This window comes from Homo sapiens, chromosome 1 (genome assembly GCF_000001405.40).
Source record: "Homo sapiens chromosome 1, GRCh38.p14 Primary Assembly".
NCBI lineage: Eukaryota > Metazoa > Chordata > Mammalia > Primates > Hominidae > Homo > Homo sapiens.
This window is the reverse complement of record NC_000001.11, coordinates 232,023,635-232,042,265: the sequence shown is the minus strand read 5'-3', so window position 1 is coordinate 232,042,265 and position 18,631 is coordinate 232,023,635. Positions and strand designations below refer to the sequence as shown.

General features: G+C 41.3%; 1 protein-coding gene and 2 long non-coding RNA genes across 6 annotated transcripts in view, besides 1 other annotated feature; all 3 read right to left on the bottom strand.

Moving 5' to 3' along the window:
- The window catches only part of TSNAX-DISC1 (TSNAX-DISC1 readthrough (NMD candidate)), a 512,620-nt gene continuing 494,982 nt past the window's right edge, over positions 994-18,631 (bottom strand). The window contains exons 15-16 of the long non-coding RNA NR_028393.1: positions 15,714-15,831; positions 994-5,574 (exon numbers count right to left, since the gene is read on the bottom strand). This is a non-coding gene — a long non-coding RNA (TSNAX-DISC1 readthrough (NMD candidate)). The remainder of the gene's footprint in view (positions 5,575-15,713; positions 15,832-18,631) is intronic.
- The window catches only part of DISC1 (DISC1 scaffold protein), a 414,483-nt gene continuing 396,845 nt past the window's right edge, over positions 994-18,631 (bottom strand). For all 4 annotated transcript variants that reach the window (NM_001164537.2, NM_018662.3, NM_001012957.2 and 1 more), the window contains 2 exons: positions 15,714-15,831; positions 994-5,574 (listed from right to left, as the gene is read on the bottom strand). In NM_001164537.2, coding sequence (NP_001158009.1) covers positions 5,435-5,574; positions 15,714-15,831 — 258 coding nt within the window. In that variant the 3' untranslated portion in view covers positions 994-5,434. The remainder of the gene's footprint in view (positions 5,575-15,713; positions 15,832-18,631) is intronic.
- Positions 3,712-4,258: an enhancer, noted in NCBI's record as "NANOG hESC enhancer chr1:232173754-232174300 (GRCh37/hg19 assembly coordinates)". NCBI's record gives its function as "activates a minimal SCP1, AML or CMV promoter by ChIP-STARR-seq in primed H9 embryonic stem cells {active_cell/tissue: H9 hESC(primed)}" and the evidence as "EXISTENCE:reporter gene assay evidence [ECO:0000049][PMID:30033119]".
- LOC124904549 (uncharacterized) lies at positions 7,390-15,700 on the bottom strand. Its single transcript, XR_007066941.1, has 2 exons — positions 8,683-15,700; positions 7,390-8,101 (listed from the first exon to the last, which is right to left on the bottom strand). It is a non-coding gene; the product is annotated as an uncharacterized LOC124904549 (long non-coding RNA).

Genomic DNA, 18,631 nt, shown 5'->3' with positions numbered 1-18,631 from the left:
TCTTAAAGAAATGATTTTATTTTTGAATAGGTAAATATATGCACACGGTACCAAATGTTTAAAAGAATAGTATAGAGCAGAAAAGTAAGTCTCCTTCCCATTTTTTTTCCACTAAGTCGCCTGGATCCCTTTCCAGTGATAGCTCTGCAGAGACAAGCACATATGTACACAAAGATTTTTTTTTAGCAACTGTAAAGCATTCCATAGTGTGAATGTACAATAATTTATTTAACCAGTCTCCAACTGATGCAAATGAAAATGTCGGTTGTTCTCATTTTTGTCCTTACAAACAATGCTACAAATGTACACCTGCAATTCTGCACACATGTACCTCTGCAGTTTAAGTGTCTAGACCCAGAACGGCTAAAAGGATGAATGGGAGAATGCATATGGGGGCTAACTAGACATCTATTGTCCCATTTGGGATCAGGAAATATTTATAAATTGACTGATGGAAATTTTTAAATTTATGATGCCTTCCTATCCAAAAGCTTAATGTGTCTTTCCATGTATTCAATTCTTGTCTCATGTCCTTCATCTTAAAATTTCCTTCATCTAAGGCTTATGCATTTCTTATATAAATATATTCTTAGCCATTTTCTCTTGCTTTTTGTTGCTATTGAAAATGGGGTCTTTTCTTATACTCAGTCTTCCAATTATTGTCTGCATATATGAAGCCTGTTGATTTTGATTGTGTTAATTGTGTAAACGTTTTTCTGTTGATTCTTTTGGGTTTTCAGCTTACAATAACATCATCTGTGAATATTAAAGCTTTATTTTTTCTTTTCCAAATTGTAACCCTTCTATATTTTTCTTGCCTAACTAAATTAGCCAGCATCTCCAGTAAAATATTTTCAGTGGTATTGTGGGTATCTTTGTCTTGTTCCCAACTCTAGTGGTAATGTTAGTTTCAATTTCCTTAATCTAGGAGTCTGGGAATAGAATATTTCATGATTTTCTGATTTGCTGATATCTGAAAGTAAACACGTGCAATTCTAAAGCATGACTTTATTATAAATGTTTCGTGTGATGTAACTGTACAATTAATCATCCTGTAACAGAAAGATGAGATGAATAAACCTGATACATTTTTCTATCATCCATACTTCAAAGGACAAAAAATCATCAAGATGCACCATGCCTTGGATATCAGCTTTTATTTTGTATAACAAAAAGTAACCTTAATGAAGCAATAAATTACATGACAAAATTCAAAGATTAGATAAGGTGAGGATATTAAAAGTAAAAGTATTGAATTACATATACAAGAAGGCATTGACCAGTAAATGCATGGTTGCTTTTCTCCACAACACAGAATTCATAATATTGGAACACTTCTGAAAAACACCAATTGGATGAGGATCTTCAAGAAAGTCAGCCCAGTGTCAGGCTGTGAGTGGTTTTCCTGGGATGACTGGGGAATGGTTAGATCAGGATGATGGTGGGGTGAATAGGTTTGTTGATGCCTGTCTGAGCCTAGACTTCACAGTGAGGCTCCCCTGGCAGTGTGGGAAGCCTCGTTTGCCCCAGGCTCAGTTTCTTTGACTCCCTAACCAAGATTTCCACAGTGGCCATGAGTTCTTAGCCAGGTGAACAAGTAAGTTCCATGGCTCAAAATCTCAAAAGGACATTAAAGGAACTTTAGGAAGAGCACTAGTTAAGAGCATGCTGCCTGTCTCTGACTGTTAGGTTCACTATTACTTCACATTTTACCAGCTCTGTGCCTTAGAAAAAGGGAATTAGTCCTCTTAAGGCTCAGTTGCATCATCTACAAACACCTTCCTTATAAGGTTGATATGGGGATTATAGGATATGACTGTAAAGGGCTTAGCATGGCAAGGGCTTAGCATGGTACCAACCGTTACATGTTTCTGGGGTGGGGAAACCAGCCTTACTGCAGGGAAAGACAAGTTTCCAATAGTATATACTAATTTGGAGAAGGATCAATTCAGTTTTGAAATTTCAGAAAGTTGGCCGGGTGCGGTGGCTCACACCTGTAATCTCAGCACTTTGGGAAGCCGAGGTGGGGGTGGATCGCCTGAGGTCAGGAGTTTGAGACCCTCCTAGCCAACATGGTGAAGCCCTGTCTCTACTAAAAATACAAAAATCATCAGGGCCCGGTGGCAAATGCCTGTAACCCCAGCTACTTGGGAGGCTGAGGCAGTAGAATAGCTTGAACCTGGGAGGTAGAGGTTGCAGTGAGCCGAGATTGCGGGGCCACTGCACTCCAACTTGGGTGACAGAGAGAGACTCCATCTCAAAAAAAAAAATGAAATTTCAGAAAGTTGGATGGAACTGGGACTATTACTGATAGCATGTCCTAACTCAGGCCAGTGAAAGAAAAATGGGTGACCATTTGAAAGCCAGCATTCCAGCAAGGCAGACAGTATAATATCACACTTACATTCTCATAAAACATCCCAGTCAAATCAGATTCTAACTCATCATTTCCAGTATGTGCTTTTGCTTGTGGTCTTGGCTATCGCCAACATAAATTTCCATTGTTGTTGTTTTGATGCTTTTAAATCTAAGCCCTAACCTCTCTTGGATATTTTTATGTTCCCCTGACAAAAACTGCTGTATAGTATGATTGAGGATACACAGTCCTGTGTCTCCCAGGGTCAAAGTGGCTTAAGACAGTGGGCTTGTCCTGAGAAGGTTGTGTAGCCAGAAGAAGCACGCTGGCCCTTAGCGGACTTTCTGAATGATACTCTAAGACCAAGCAAAGACAACAGATGAGTTATGGCTTGTGGTTAAAACATGACTCACCTGCCCAAATACTTCAAAATTTGCAGCAGGGAAATGAACACACTATCTACTAGAGGTACCAAAGAACCCTTATTTCGGGTTCAAACAATTCAAGGCAGTTATTAACTTGCAGAATTTTCAAATACATCATGACCTCACAGAATTATTTCATGATGGTGTCTGAGTAATACAAAACACTTGGGCTAGTGACGGTTAAGATGTCTTGTGTCTGGGAGGCTTTTTGAAAAGACATATGTCGAAGTAGGAATTTGTTATTGGCAATGTGGCCAATCCTGACTCTTCCCAAGTTTTGCTTCACTGGAATTAACTCAAGGATTCCAAGTGCCATGTGACCAGTTCATAATTTTCTTTAGACACAATTATAAATAATTCAGGAATTTGGTTCATCATTGAAAATGAAGTCCAGGAACAAGCTAATTATACTTATTATTAAAATATGTAGAGTGTATTTTGCTCGAGATAAAGCCATAGGGAACACAATCAGCACATTCACATATTGTGCTTTTGCTTTGTTTCCTGGACCCCAGCCAATTGCTGGCTTAAGCATGGCCATCTCCTTGACTGAGGACAGAAGTGCTGCACAGCATGGAAGGCTGAGCAAAGCACCAGATGCCTTCTGGAAACGCCAGTGTGACTTCAGGAAATGACAAAAATGGTCTCATATCCGTGGATCCTAGTGAAGGCAGGAACCTCACTATCCCTAAACACATAAATGAGAACAGAAGCACAAACAGAACAACCACTGGATTAAATTTACCAATCTGTGGCAGGTAGTTATTAAGCTCAACACTCTGCAAAAGTGTGAGTGTGGTTTCTAAAGTGATGTAAATCAGAGTTTGGACTGGGACTTCCTCAGAGAATGCAGTGCTGTACAATACTAGATCTATGGGATATGAATAGGAGTTACATGAAAAAAATTCACGATCCATTAAACTTGGAAAGTTTGAGGTTAGATAAAATCAAGTGAGTTTCCTTACTATAAGTTCTCTCTCAGACTAATATGCTAATGTGCATTGTGGTTCTCCAAGCAGATATTATGGTATGGTGTATTTACCAAAGGTACTTGACCAGAGAGGGTACTCCTTTGTTTAGAGAGCTTCTCTTGGGGCCACCTTCCTCAGTGCACTTTGGGAAGTGCTGCCTAATTGAAATCAGCCTGTTTTGCAGCTGTCTCAATAGGAGTCCCAGCTGGGCCAAAGAAGCAGCCCAGCAGGAGCCTGAAATGCCCTTGCATTACTGAGTACTGCACTGATTTACTGAGTACTACATTGCCTATATAAGTACTCAGTACTTATAGTACTGAGTACTAGCTGCCCTGTGTTACTGAGTACTATGCTGTCCTACTGAGCACTACACTGTGTTACTAAGCAATTCACTGCCTTACTGAGCACTGCACTGCCTTATTGAGCACTGCACTGTGTTACTGAGCATTGCATTGCTTTACTGAGTACCATACTGCCTTACTGAGTACTGTACTGTATTACTGAGTACTGCACTGTGTTACTGAGTACTGCACTGCCTTACTGAGTACTGCACTGTTACTGAGTACTGCACTGTTACTGAGTACTGCACTGTGTTACTGAGTACCGCACTGAGTATTGCACTGCCTGAGTACTGTGCTGCATTCCTGAGTACTGCACTGCCTAACTGAGTACTGTATTGTATTACTGAGTACTTCACTGCCTTACTGAATACTGTACTGTATTACTGAGTACTTCACTGTTACTGAGTACTACACTGTTACTGAGTATTGCACTGCCTTACTGAGCACTGCACTGTCTTACTGAGTACTGCACTGCCTGAGTACTGTATTGTGTTACTGAGTACTGCACTGCCTTACTGAGTACTGCACTGCTTTCCTAAATGCTGCACTGCCTGGCATTGAGTGAAACAGGTTCCACGGGAAAATGGAACAGGCTCAAACATTTTATACAGGTCCCCTGATCCATCCACAGCCTCACTGTGGGTAAATTTCAGAATGTCCTGATGAAACAGAGACTCTCAGGGATCCTTTCTTCAGATGCAATCATTGCCACAAAAGGAAAATTGAAAGGTGGCATATCACTGGGAGGTTGTTGTCTTACCAAAATATCTTTTGGAAATTGCATATTAATTTTTCTAAGATAATATTAGATCACAGGAGAAGTAAGGTGAAAAGCTGTTAACTCCAGACTCTGAGGTTAATTAGCTCTCTTAGATTGTGCACCTGTAGGAACGTGTAACAGGTATGATGACAGAGTCTTATGCTTGGTTTCCTTTTTATAGAATCTTGAATCAGGAAATATTTTCGTTGCAGCAGAAGGCAAATGGCACAGGAAAAAGAGACATTTTTCCAGAATTCACCCCAACTTCTCTCTAATGGGGGCTGAGATGAAACTATTCTCAAATCCTGTGGAAGACATTCCCAAGAATGACATGGAAAAGAAATTTTTGAGTGACATTTAGAAGGAAATTCAGCAAATCAGTCTCTCTCTCCATATTCCAAATTGCAGACTCCTCAGTTTCACACTGATGAGAATGAACATGAACCACCTTTCCACTGAAAGACCTCAAGGCTCTGTATCTCCGTAATTGATTCAGGCATCTTAGCTATGGCGGGGGAGGGAAGAGCAGCCCCCCGGGTCCAAACATGGTGGCCCACCTCCCTCCCCCATCCCGTCACTCCTCAGGCTTGTGCTTCGTGGACACCAGCTGTCATGCAGGAAGCTGCAGCTTCTCTTTCTCCCGCCTCCTTTGCTGGCTGGAGCTGCAGGATCATGGCCTGCAGAGTTTCCTTCACCATCTGGAGCTCCCTCCTGAGAGACTGTGGGCACATTGTTAAGGAGCACATTCGAAGGTGATCGTGGCCCTCTGCGGCCTCCGAGGGATCGAAGAGCGTGTGAGCCTGCTGGAAGCAGATGGGTACTGACACCTAATTGCAGTTTAAAGTTCTTTCCAATTGTATGAATTAAATATTAATATAAACTTTACACTTTTATATTTTAGAATGACCGCAATTTCTACAATGCCTGAGGTATTGACTCTCTCAAGTCAGGTCTTAAAAAGGAAATGGAAGAGTCAGCTCTTAGCAGAGACAGATGGTCAACTCAGATGCTCAATGATATGCAGTTGGCGTGACCATAACTCCGGCTAAGCCCCAAGTTGGGGTGGGGCAACTGTCAGATGCAAATACTCTTGACAGTGGAAAGGGTAGAATGCTTGAAATCAAAATCTCCTTGAGAAATACAGGATTTGGGGTTGCCATAAGTAGGGAGAGGCATACTGGAGCAGACTCAGTTATTAACATGGTCTCTGTTCACCATTAACCAGCCTTGTCACCCTATGCAAACCAGTTAAAGCCTCAGTTTTCTCTTGAAATGATGACTTTGAAACCTCTCCAGGCTCTAACCTGCTGTTATCTGTTAGTATATTCCCAGGAACTAGGAAGGGCACTCAAGACTTGATAGAGTCCATCAAAGGGCAAAGAGAGCTTGCTTTTTCTGGGTTGGTTGGTTGGTTCTTTTCTTTTCTTAAGCTGTTGGGCTCTTAGTTTTCTAACCTATAAAGTTATTTCTCACATGGAGAAAACAATCATAGAGAACTTAGCAAACAGTAATAGATAAGGCTGTAGTTCTCTTAAGAAACGGGTTCTCGTCTGGGTGTTCAAGCAGGGGAATGTTTAACCAACAGTGGTTTTTCTGTCCATACGTCATCCAGTTCATCCTTTCCCTTTTTACTTGTAGTCAGAACAACTCTAAGGCAAATGCAGGGTGAGCGTTGGGTTTAACAAGCAAATTGATCCACTTTCATCCAACAGGGACCAAGGGAGAAAGTAGAAATATGTTGACACCACCTAAATATGCTGAAGTCATCACATGAAGCCAGACCACTACAACAGTACTAGATCAGACATGGAGGGAATGGGGAGCTTTGGGAAAGGGAGTCTGACTGTTTACAGACCACCTACACTACAATGTGGTTTTCCCAAAGTGCAATGTCAATGCAACAAAAAGAGAAAAAGACACCCTTACGAACCACTGTGGAAAGCTTTCCCTTTCTTTTTTCTTTTTTTGAGACAGAGTTTTGCACTTGTAGCCCAGGCTGGAGTGCAGTGGTGCGATCTCGGCTCACTGCAACCTCCGTCTCCGGGATTCAAGTGATTCTCCTGCCTCAGCCTCCCAAATAGCTGGGATTATAGGTGTGTGCCACCATGCTAATTTTTGTATTTTTAGTAGAAATGGGGTTTCACCATGTTGGCCACATTGGTCTTGAACCCCTGACCTCAGGCAGTCTGCCTGCCTTGGCCTCCCAAAGTGCTGGGATTACAGGCATGAGCCACCATGCCCAGCCTCCTTTCTTTTTTGAACAAGGAACTCCAGAGGATCCTGGGAATGATGGAAATGAATCTCTTCTAAGCAAACGTGCTGAACCACCCTGAAAAGTTCTGGCAGTTTTTCACCCTCTTGAAGCTTCCCCAGACTCTATCATTTGCGTAATTTACATGCATTTACTGCTAGGGTTCTCTCCTTGCATTTGAACTTGAGGAAAATGGGAGTTGGGTAGGAGGGTGATCAGGGGAGGAAAGAATCCAATATTTACCTTTCTTTCTTTTTTTTTTTTAAGAGGCTTTGGTTGCTTCCATTTCTTACATAGTTCCGCTAATCTTTATTGAAAACATATACCACTTTATACAAGCAAAAGCATAAGTGGTCCCAGACTGAATACCAAACTGGAATTTAATCACAAAGTCATGCCACATCTGTGAAGAGCAGGCATGGAGCTTAAGCAGTTTATGAATCCTGACCAACTCCTGAGATTTAATTACCTTTGACATGCAGCCTGGGACTACATGCCACTATTTGTAATGTGCTAAATGATGACAAAGGTTTTTAGAGAGAGAACTTGAACCAAAATGTGATGTTTCTTTAAAAACTGATAAATCTTCTGGAACTGGCAGAACCCACTGAAAAGGTTAAAAATAAGGAGTGAGAAGTTACAAAAGCAAAGGATGAAGTTAGTCTATAACTAAATTAACACATCAGCCGCTCATACAACAATCGCTAACACAGAAGGTGTCAGAAAACCAGCATTTGAGGAGATAACTCCCTAGCTATGGTAAGCTCAGCAAATCAATCAATGCTTAATTATTCTACTTGTAAAATACTGAATCTTGTACCTTCCTCATAGGGTTAGGGTTCAAAGAAATATTTTTTCCTTGTGAGAGTATAGTGTCTTTTGTGAGTCATCATGAGATTTAAGGTTTATTTCTTAATATAACAGATGTAACAAATACCTTAGGCTCTGTCAAAGCAGGGTTAGACACCAGAAATCCTAGAAACCTCATTTAATGAGCCTGTAGGGGTAATAATCATCAAAATAATAATTAAAATCACATTTTATTTGCAAAGTACTTCTCTCTAACCAACCTGCCTGTAGGATCCCTTACAAAATGTGAGTTACAAAGCATTTTGGATGTACTGAAATGGAAAAGTCCCCAGAAAAAAAAATGCAGAATGGGGTGGGGGAAAGCATATTGTAGAATAATTTATATGGAATGATCCTAATTTTGCAAACAAGACTATTGAGATAAGCCATTTATAGCTCTAGAAAAAGGCTTCAGGAGGACAAAGTAGTGACCTCTAGGTAGAGGCACTGGGAGGGAAACAGCTTTATTTTCCATACTTCTGTGATATTCACAATGGAAATGCATTGCTTTCATATTTAAATCAATATGTTTATAAAATAAACCACTGGAAACATTTCCCTGTTAAGCAGTTGGGAGAAATGAAAGTGCAGAGAGAGATCCTCTTTCTTTCTTTCACTCATTCAAACATTCAAATGTTTCCTGAGTTTCTACTGTGTGTTAACAAATGTTATGGACACAGCAGCACAGGAGTGAATCAAAGTCACTGCCATCATAGATGGCATAAATACCTATGAGTGCAGCAGAAAGTAAACAGGCGCCATGTTGGTAGTTATGTCCAGCTGTGCTGTGTTCACAGTGAGATGGGAGGAGCCGTGGGAGGACCTGGAGCAGAGGGGTGACATCGTCAGTTTGGCTGCTGTGCTGAGAATGGATTAAAGAGGATAAGGGCGGAAGCACAGAGTGACCAGTTAGGAGACCACTGCAATAGTTCAGGCAAGAAACAATCATGGCTTGAACAGGGCAGTGGCAGTGGAGGTAGGAGAGGTGGCTAGATTCTGGATGTGTTTTGCAGATACAACCAAGAGCATATATATGGTGACAGACTGGATGTGGGATATGGAAAATGGAAAAGGCATTAAGAAGGACTCCCTGATTTTTTATCTGAGCAAATAATTAGAAAAACACATCTGTATTTTATTGAGAAGAAGAGGACTAGGAATGAGCGTTTGGTGTTTTTGGTAGAGGAGGGAGGGAATTGGATTTTAGACAGGGTAAGTTGGACAAGCTTATTAGCCAAGAGAAGATGCTGAGTAGAAAACAGATATAAGTCTGGCATTCATATTGAACCATAAATTAAAAAAAAGTGTTTTACAACATTTTCTCACTGACTTACAGAAAAATAAACTATCTCATTTGATACATCTAAGCAAGATCTTAAGGCTAAGTAGTAGCTATAATCAGATTTTCTGATCACTAATCCAATAAGCTCATAGTTGAAGCCCATTGAAACACTTGACCTTGACCTTAATTGTTGTCAAAGAGCTGAAAAACAATTGGAATTTTAGGCAAATAGAAATTTTAGGCAAATTCCAAAACTATTGACAATTTAGGCAAATTCCAAAACTAGAATAGAGGTGCTAACTGCACCTAATTGCAAGAATAGGCCTCAAAAAAGCAGAATAATTCTTATGAAGCCTGTGCCTTAGGGACCTGAGTAGCTAAGTATCTGCCCCCCATAACAGATATGCCACCAAGTACCTGTGGTATCTAAGAAAATTAGCAGATTCATTATAACAACGTCGCAGGGATGAACATCCTAACATCTTTAAAACACCTTTGGAACCCAAGGCCATTCTGTACCTCCTTGGAATAGACTATCCACATGGTAGGTAAGCATGTAACTTGTTAAAATGTCTGTGTTTGCAATTAGCAAAGGAGTAAGACAGCAGGACAGGTGCATTCAGGAATAGATGATAAGGCAATATTGTCATTTGGGGTACCATTTGCAAAAGATCCTGGAATTCTTTAGATGGAGTCTTCTGTTTTTATAAGAAAACAATTGAGTGTTTTACTGTTAATGAAGTGTCCAAGTAAGCATTTCAATGGCTTAGTCAAATTTAGGTCTTCGGTTCATCTGACCTAGTTTGATTCAAAAAGAAACAATAGAACAAGTTGAGCATCCCAAATCCCCAAATCCAAAATCTGAAATGCTCCAGAATCCAAAACCTTCTGAGCACTGACGTGATGTTCAAAGGAAATGCTCATTGGAACATTTCAGATTTGGGATTTTTGGATTTGGTATGCTCCACTGGTAAGTATAATGCAAATATTCCACAATCTGAAAAAAAGCAGAACTTCAAAACACTTCTAGTCCCAAGCATTTCAGATAAGGGACTCTCTTATCCTTTGAAAGTGCTACTCTTTTGCTACATTATTTCTTCTTACCACCATTCCTTCCTGGGTAGCCACTACAGCCCATAGTGCTGGAGAATTTGGTACTGGAGATCCTCATGGAAAAGCCATGAGGATCACAGTCTTTCAAGAGCAAAGAGGAAAACCTTGACTATACCCAAGATTGATTCAAAGGATTTGATGCTTGTACACAGAAACTCTGTGTTGCCTACCTTGTGCCAAGCCCACCTCGTGCTCAGCCAGCAGCAGGACAGCCCTGTGTCTACGCCCTTGCCCTCCCCCACCCACTGTGGGGCTCCAACTCTTCCCCGTCCCACTCCAAAGCCAAGTGAGAGCCTAAGGAAAGAACTGTGACTACTATATCTGCACCAGCCCATCACACACAAAGCTTTAGATACTGTCATCTTAGGCTCTGGGTTTTCTTTCTTTCCTTTCCTTTTCTTTCTTTCCTTTCCTTTCCTTTCTTTCTTTCCTTCCCTTTTGCTCCCTTCCCTTCTCCCTTCCCTTCTCCTTTCCCTTTTCCCTTCTCCTTTCCCTTGTCTCTTCTCCCTTCCCTTCTTCCCTTCTCTTCCTTTCCCTTCTCCTTTCCCTCTCCCTTCCCTTTCCTTTTCTTTCCTCTTTTCCTTTTCCTTTCCTTTTCTCTCCTTCCCTCTCTCCTTCCTTCCTTCCTCTTTTCTTTCTTTTTCTTTCTTTATCTTTCTTTCTCCTTCCTTCCTTCCTCTCTTTCTCTCTCTCTTTCTCCCTTCCTTCCTTCCTCTCTCTCTGTCTCTCCTTTCTCCCTTCCTTCCTTCCTGTTCTCTCTCTCTCTCTCCTCTCTCCCTCCTTCCTTCCTTCCTTCCCTCCCTCCTTCTTTGGCAGTGTCTTACTTTGTTGCCCAGGCTGGAGTGTAGTAGTGTGCAGTCTCAGCTCACTGCGACCTCCACCTCCTGGGTTCAAGCAATTCTCACGCCTCTGGAGTAGCTGGGACTACAGGTGTGCACCATCACGCCCAGTTAATTTTTGTATTTTTAATAGAGACAGGGTTTTGCCATGTTGCCTAGGCTGGTCTCAAACTCCTGGTCTCAAACAATCCATCCACCTCAGCCTCCCAAAGTGCCGGGATTAAGATGTAAGCCACCGCACCTGGCCAGGCTCTGGATTTTCTTATCTATAAACTACATGAGTGGAGCTCCATGATCCTCATGATCCCTCTTCCAGCCCCTCAGCTCTAGAAGTGGAAAACATCTCCAAGGAGGCAGGACAGTCTCCCAAAACTCTCGTTACCTTTGTCTGTTCACGCTAAAATTTGGAAAGTTGAACTAAACAAGGGTCCTACGGAGCTGTGGTATTTGTGCACAAACCTGGATGTATTTAGAGCATGCCCTCAAGCACCACCAAAACTAAACAATTGGGCACCATGCACTCCAAATAACCAGAGAAACAGAATTCCATAAGGGCTTCCCAGACATGGATGTAAATACAACCACAAATAGAATCAGAGTGTCTCTACCTCGTCTATGACTGAGGGCCAGGCAGAACTGCCCTGAGGGCTTTGAAATATGCCAAAAATGTACATATCACAGGTGTACTTCTTTTCCTTTGAAAGTGTGTTGTAGAAATTGAAGGAGGAAGAAAATGAGAAAATTCCTGCTTAAAAATCCACCTTAATTTGGAAGGCTTTTGGTTACAATATTTTGAGCGTGGAGGAGACCTTGCACACAGTCAAAATGTTTTTCAAAACATACTGCTAATTAGGACCCCAGATGACTGTGAAAATGCACTAGAGACTCACACTAATGCTCCTGGAAGTCCCGACTTGACTGGCCGTGAAGTCACACCTCCTGTCCCCTTCTCAGGCACTAGGCGTGAGCCACCTCTCCACCACCAGCTCTCCCAATTAATGGTGCAGACTGTTTTCAGACACTCGCTGCCACAGTAGCTGATGGGTTTGTGTTGTTCTTTGGTCATGCTACATGTAATTTGGTGAGCCTGTCAGGACGATGAAGAGGCAAAGGCTCTTTCCTCTCCCTCCTTGGATTGGTCAATCAGTGTCTTCTTAATAAAAGTAGGAGACACCCATGAGGCTGCCCATAACTCGGATATTAAATCAGGAGGCCACAAGGACCTATTTGGAAACTCAGTCCCACTGCCCACCCCTAACCTCTGTTGATGCCACACTAATAGCCCTTATGTACACACATGGTTTATGCAAAAACTGAGTGTTTTCCACACAAAGAATAAACATCCATGGTAGCATCTGTGGCTTGAATCTTTCAGACGTGGACGTCCAATGTGGGCTTACATTAATCACATTCCAATGTGGACTTAGATTAATTGGGTACCTCACATGCACAGTAGGCTCTGGCAGCATGCTTAATGGAATCAAACAAAACACTGCACTCACTGTGCAATCCTTCTGTATTGTTGACAACAAGCTGTTTCTTTCAGCCACACTCAGCATTGTATCTTTGATCAAACATGGAAATACAAACCAGTCAGAGTTTGGCTGGAGGATTCTGGCAGCCTCTCTGAATCTCTAGATAAGCTCTAATTTGAAACAACGGCTTTGGTTTGTGTAGGGGAGCCTCCGTAGAGCCTTGTAAACATGTCTTTCTATCTTAGGGCATAATGTTCCACTCAAATTTAAGTGCTGCTTTGTATGAATTCAAAGACACCTTCTGTGTATTTATTCTCAATCAGTGACAGAAGACTGGGATTCGAAGAAAAGTCTGGGTTGAAATCCATATCGTGGTGTAGATTTTATTGGAGGGAGGGAGAGAGCTGACTTCAGTACCTAAACCAGTGCTTCTCCGCTTATCACAACAGAGATCAGTGAAATTCTCAAAAAACATAACATCAGTGAAATACTTTTATTATAGCTTAAAAATTTAAAGTAATTGTGTGTTCCATGGAACAGACCTGTCCATTTACTTATAGGCAATGGCTGCTTTCTGATGGGCCTAATAGGACCATGGGGCTTGTGGCTGAAAAGTTCTGCTACTCATCAGAAATGACCTTGTGTCAGCCAAGTTGTTCCCAAGCCTTGTTTTTTTCGACTGTCAAGTAGGGATAATAATCCCTATCCATTTATAGAAGTTTTATTATAATTAAATGACTTTTCATCTAAGCCACTGTGGAGTTACTGATTGATTCCTTCAAGCATTTATTACAAAATAGTTGAATCAATCTACCTTGAAACTTTTTGTGTATAAATGGGATGTTCTTGGAGCTTGTGACTAATATACTAAGAACTGTGAGACAAATGGACTTGGATAACACTTTTCTACCTAAAATCATGCACTTACCCATGGCTATATTAAATGTACATTATGAATATAGCCTTATTTAACCCCCATAAAAACCTTAGAGGTGTATGTTATCCTGACATTACAGATGGGAACCCTAATGCTTAAAGAGGCATTATCACTTGTCCATGATCCCGCTGCTATTAAATCTGGCTTGGATCAGCTGTGGAAAAACTAAAAGGATCTTGTTTAAATACTGCTTAACCCCTTGTTTTTCAGGGGTCTTTACTAGAGCTGCCTCCCCAGCTCTAGTAAAAATAAGATCCAATTCCCCAGAATCAAACTAACCTTTTAGAAAATTTCACAATAAGAGACCAGTACAGAACCCTGACTGCAGCCCTCAGAACTGCTACCTGAAGACAGAGGTACAACCCACTTAGGAACTGCCCATCTGCTGAGCTGGGGAACGGGAACCCCTTCATATCCATTGACTCTCTGCAGCGGACTCCTCCTCTGTGCCCCATCACCTGCCCATTTGCTGGAAGCCATACCCCCTTACACGTGCTCAAAGATTTGTGATCCCATGAACATGGAATAAATAAAAACGCCATCCTTATTCTATGTTTGTATGCTTCTTTGGGAAACTTTCTGATAATAGCTTAAATACAAGATTTTTAAGAGGCAGGAAATTATGAAGAACAGAATATCTGCTTTTCAAAATCTACCTAAAGCAATGTGAAAATCATTGCAGATTAAGTTGAAGAAATTTTCTGCCCAGCTTAATAAACAAGGTCAAAAATGTAAAGTTATAACAAGGAAGGAAGTGTAGCATTGGCTCTATCATTAAATCACAGATCTGAGTATTTATGACTAAGATTAATCCTTGGCCATTCAAAGCTACTTATACACACACACACACACACACACACACACACACACACAGCCCATAAAGTATGGTAAAAACTGGAATTCTAAAAAGTAAGACAGCAATGACAAGCAAAGACCAAAATAGCTAAATTTGCCACAAACGCATCTAATAAAAGACATTCTACTGAATAGAAAGATGAATGAATAGGGAAGTGTTTTTAGCTAGAGAAGTGTCAACTTGTGATTAAATAACTGAAAGGATATAGGGCTGCATATCCCTTCATCCACTGGGTACCCACCCATTTGCTCTCAGCAGAACTAACCAGTGACAAACTGCGTCCACAGATCAACACAGAATGGAGTGCTTCATACGGATGCATACCTAAGCCAGTATGTTCTCAGGCCATCTTGCTCACTAGCAGCTAGTTTTGATGAAGGTGTTTGTAGGTGTGACACCAAGGATATTAAGTCTGGTGCAAGAAATTCTATCACCGGGAAGCAGAAAGGACTAAATTGAGTTCAACCATGTGTATATGGTTAGAAGTTGAAAGGAAATAATCTAAAGTCCTGTTTGCTTTGTTACTGTACTGCCCATTACTAGGTAGAGTTGCTAGATAAAGAAATTCAGAGGTGGATTTAGGACGCTTGGTATTGAAAAAGCTCGTAGGAAAACGAGCCAGTCAACTGTTTTCCTTCACCAGGGCCACACAGAGCTGGATTTACACTCACTTGAAACTGCATTTTCTTTGGCTTCCTCGTGTGCATGTCTGAACTTAATTGTTAGTGGTTGGATTTAGCAATTAAAAATACTGAATTGCGGCCGGATGCGGTGGCCCAAGCCTGTAATCCCAGCACTTTGGGAGGCCAAGGCGGGCGGATCACTTGAGGTCAGGAGTTCTAGACCAGCCTGGCAAACATGGCAAAACCCTCTCTCTACTAAAAATACAAAAAAATTAGCTGGGCGTGCTGGCGGGCACCTGTAATCCCAGCTACTCAGGAGGCTGAGGCAGGAGAACCGTTTGAACCCAGGAGGTGGAGGCTGCAGTGAGCTGAGATCACACCATTGCACTCCAGCCAAGGCATCAAAAAAAAAAAAAAAAAAAAAAGAAAAAAGAAAAAAAATACTGAATTGCTTACTGAAAACTAGAGCGAAAACATTTCATACCTGATAATCTCAGAGATCTGAGGTGCTCTGTGCTATAAATAACGGCAGCATCTATTTGTTGCCATCTTCTGAGGCATGAAAAACTACCCTTTAAAGACTCTCTTTTATAAAATAACTTTGCCTTGCTTCATCTGCAAGATGAAAAGGATATGAATGAGATCTTCATCATGACTGTGGATTGCTGTGTGAAGTTGATCTTCCAAGTACAATAGCTTCTTGCCTATGTCTTCACACTTTTCTCCAAGTTCTGCAGAAAGGATGTAAGATTCCTGGCGAGAGGGGGAAAACAAGATCACTTGTTAGTGCCGTGGACACAGACAGAACACAAAGGGAAGCTTCCTGGAAAGAGCTCTCCCAGTTTCTGCACCTCAGTCAGAATTGTGCTAGGGCCTGTGTCTCCCCTGGGTATCAAACTTGAGAAGTTGTGAACTGATTTCAAGTTATGACCAAAGAATGAGCTTTGTCTATGCAGTTCCACAGGCCACCTCCCTTGTCTGGTCATTTCAAAGTGCTGCTTCCAGTATGTCAAGTCCCGAAGTGGATTTATCAAACAGAAACCCTGAATCTTCCAGCTGTATCAATGGGCAAATTCAAAATTTAATAGGGATTCTAAAAAAAGTGGGGAGAGGGGTCACAGGAGCAACTGGGCTAACCTGTAAGGACAAAGGGAATATTCCTTTAAGGACACAGGAATTGACTAGGGCACTGAACATTTGTTTACACACTGACCACAGTCCCTGAATGCTAGAATTTAAGTGCCATGAGGTGTATACTGCATATAGAGCCGCCGCTACCACCACCATACATGGGAGCTTAAGCCGCATAAGAGCAGGATGATGCAGCACTTTGGGAGGCCGAAGCGGGCGGATCACGAGGTCAGGAGATCAAGACCATCCTGGCTAACACGGTGAAACCCTGTCTTTACTAAGAATACAAAAAATTAGCCGGGCGTAGTGGCGGGCGCCTGTAGTCCCAGCTACTTGGGAGGCTGAGGCAGGAGAATGGCGTGAACCCAGGAGGCGGAGCTTGCAGTGAGCCGAGATTGCACCACTGCACTCCAGCCTGGGCGACAGAGCGAGACTCCGTCTCAAAAAAAAAAAAAAAAAGAGCAGGATGATGATGTCTTTTTGCTGCTATCCCTAGAGCCCCTGGCATAGTATCTGGCACATGACAGGCACGTAGTATTGATCGATTTGATGAATGAACAATTAAGTCTTAGAGCTCCTTCCTTCTCTCACTTTTTCCCTTCAAACTTATTTCTATGAGCCAGAAAAGGGCCTTCTTTATGTCACTTTCCTGCACGAAACCACCACAGAGCAGAGTCTAAACTCTGTCTTCATAGGACCTCGCACAAAGCCCATGGTTCAGCTGTATCCCCTCAACTCTCCTAAAGGCAAGCTAAGCTTTGCCAATAGGACTAACCCCGTTGCCCTCTCTCATGCTGTTCTTTTTGCCCATGCATTCTTCCCCACTCTTCTCTGAAACCCAGCCTTTCCTTCAAAGGCCCCAAATAATAATTTCACCTTGTAGTGCAACCATTCTGATAAGTTCTGTGTCCACTCAAGTGAGGTAAGGGCCATGGGTTAGTCATTCATCCCAGGGCCCAAAGTTGAATGCTGGGCATGTAGAAGGCCACAGACTTGTAAAGGAAAACAATAAACAAGGTTAAGAAAATGAGAACAGAAGATAGAGATTCTTAGAATAAAGCAGGGGGAGAAGCAAGAAATGAGCTCAGAATTAAAACTTAAATGTAAAGATAATATTTCCTTAACTAAGAGTGAAAAGCTTAGAAGATACACTAAAAAATTTTTGCAGACCAGACGCAGTGGCTCGCAGCTGTAATCCCAGCACTTTGGGAGGCTGAGGCGGGTGGATCATGAGGTCAGGAGTTCAAGACCAGCCTGGCCAACATGGTTAAACCCCCTCTCTAAAAAAATACAAAAATTAGCTGGGCGTGGTGGTGGGCGCCTGTAATCCCAGCCACTCAGGAGGCTGAGGCAGAAGAATCGCTTGAACCCGGGAGGCGGAGATTGCAGTGATCTGAGATCATGCCACTGCACTCCAGCCTGGACAACAGAGCAAGACGCTGTCTCAAAAAAAAAAAAATTGCATAAGGGAAACTATTAAGATACGTATTCATCTTAAACTACAAGTTTACTACAAAAGATACAATGAATACCCAACAATAACAACAAAATGCCCAGGTGCGGTAATAGTCACTGTTAAAAAGTCTGGAGATTATGCATTATATAATATTATAATCAGATTCCACAAATAACAATTAAATCCAAGTATATAATTTGATTTTTGCTATATTAGCTTTAAAATTTACATGCCAATGGCCAACTACCTTAGAATAAAATAGTGCTAATGGGAACTGCAAATAACTTGTAAATATTGGAGAAGTCTAGTATACTGAAGAATGAGCTACAAGCTACAGAATGACTATACGCATTTACTGCAAGTAAGTGTATATAGAAAAGAAATCTAGTGGCAATAACATACAATTGTGGGGACATATGGACACAATTAAAGGAACTTTAGTGTGAAGCACCCTTGAAGGTTTACTCAAAATTGACCATAACAGTGGTGAGAAGACAGCAAATACATAAAAATCACAGATAAATATATATATATATACACACATACACATATATACATATATATGTGTGTGTATATATATATATATTTTTACTGACCCTAAAATAATCAAAGATATGAAATTGAGGGTAGGAGATTACACAGAAGTGTAGACACTGGATAATGAGCAACACCGTCATCACACATGAAATAAATGAGACACTAAGAAAAAGAACATCTGGGAAAAAATGATTGACAGTCATGAAACCACAAATCATACAGGAAGGAGAAACATACAGTGTTAGCAGGAAAATATATATGACTGAAAACACACTTAAAGAGAGAAAAAGCATAGACTCAGAACAGAAAACCAAGGAATTTAAAACACCCTTAAACGAAATCAAATGACTCAATCTTCATCTTACGGCTACAACAAATATGAAATCAGAGCTAAATTAAACAAATTTAAAATACAGTTTTACATTTCTC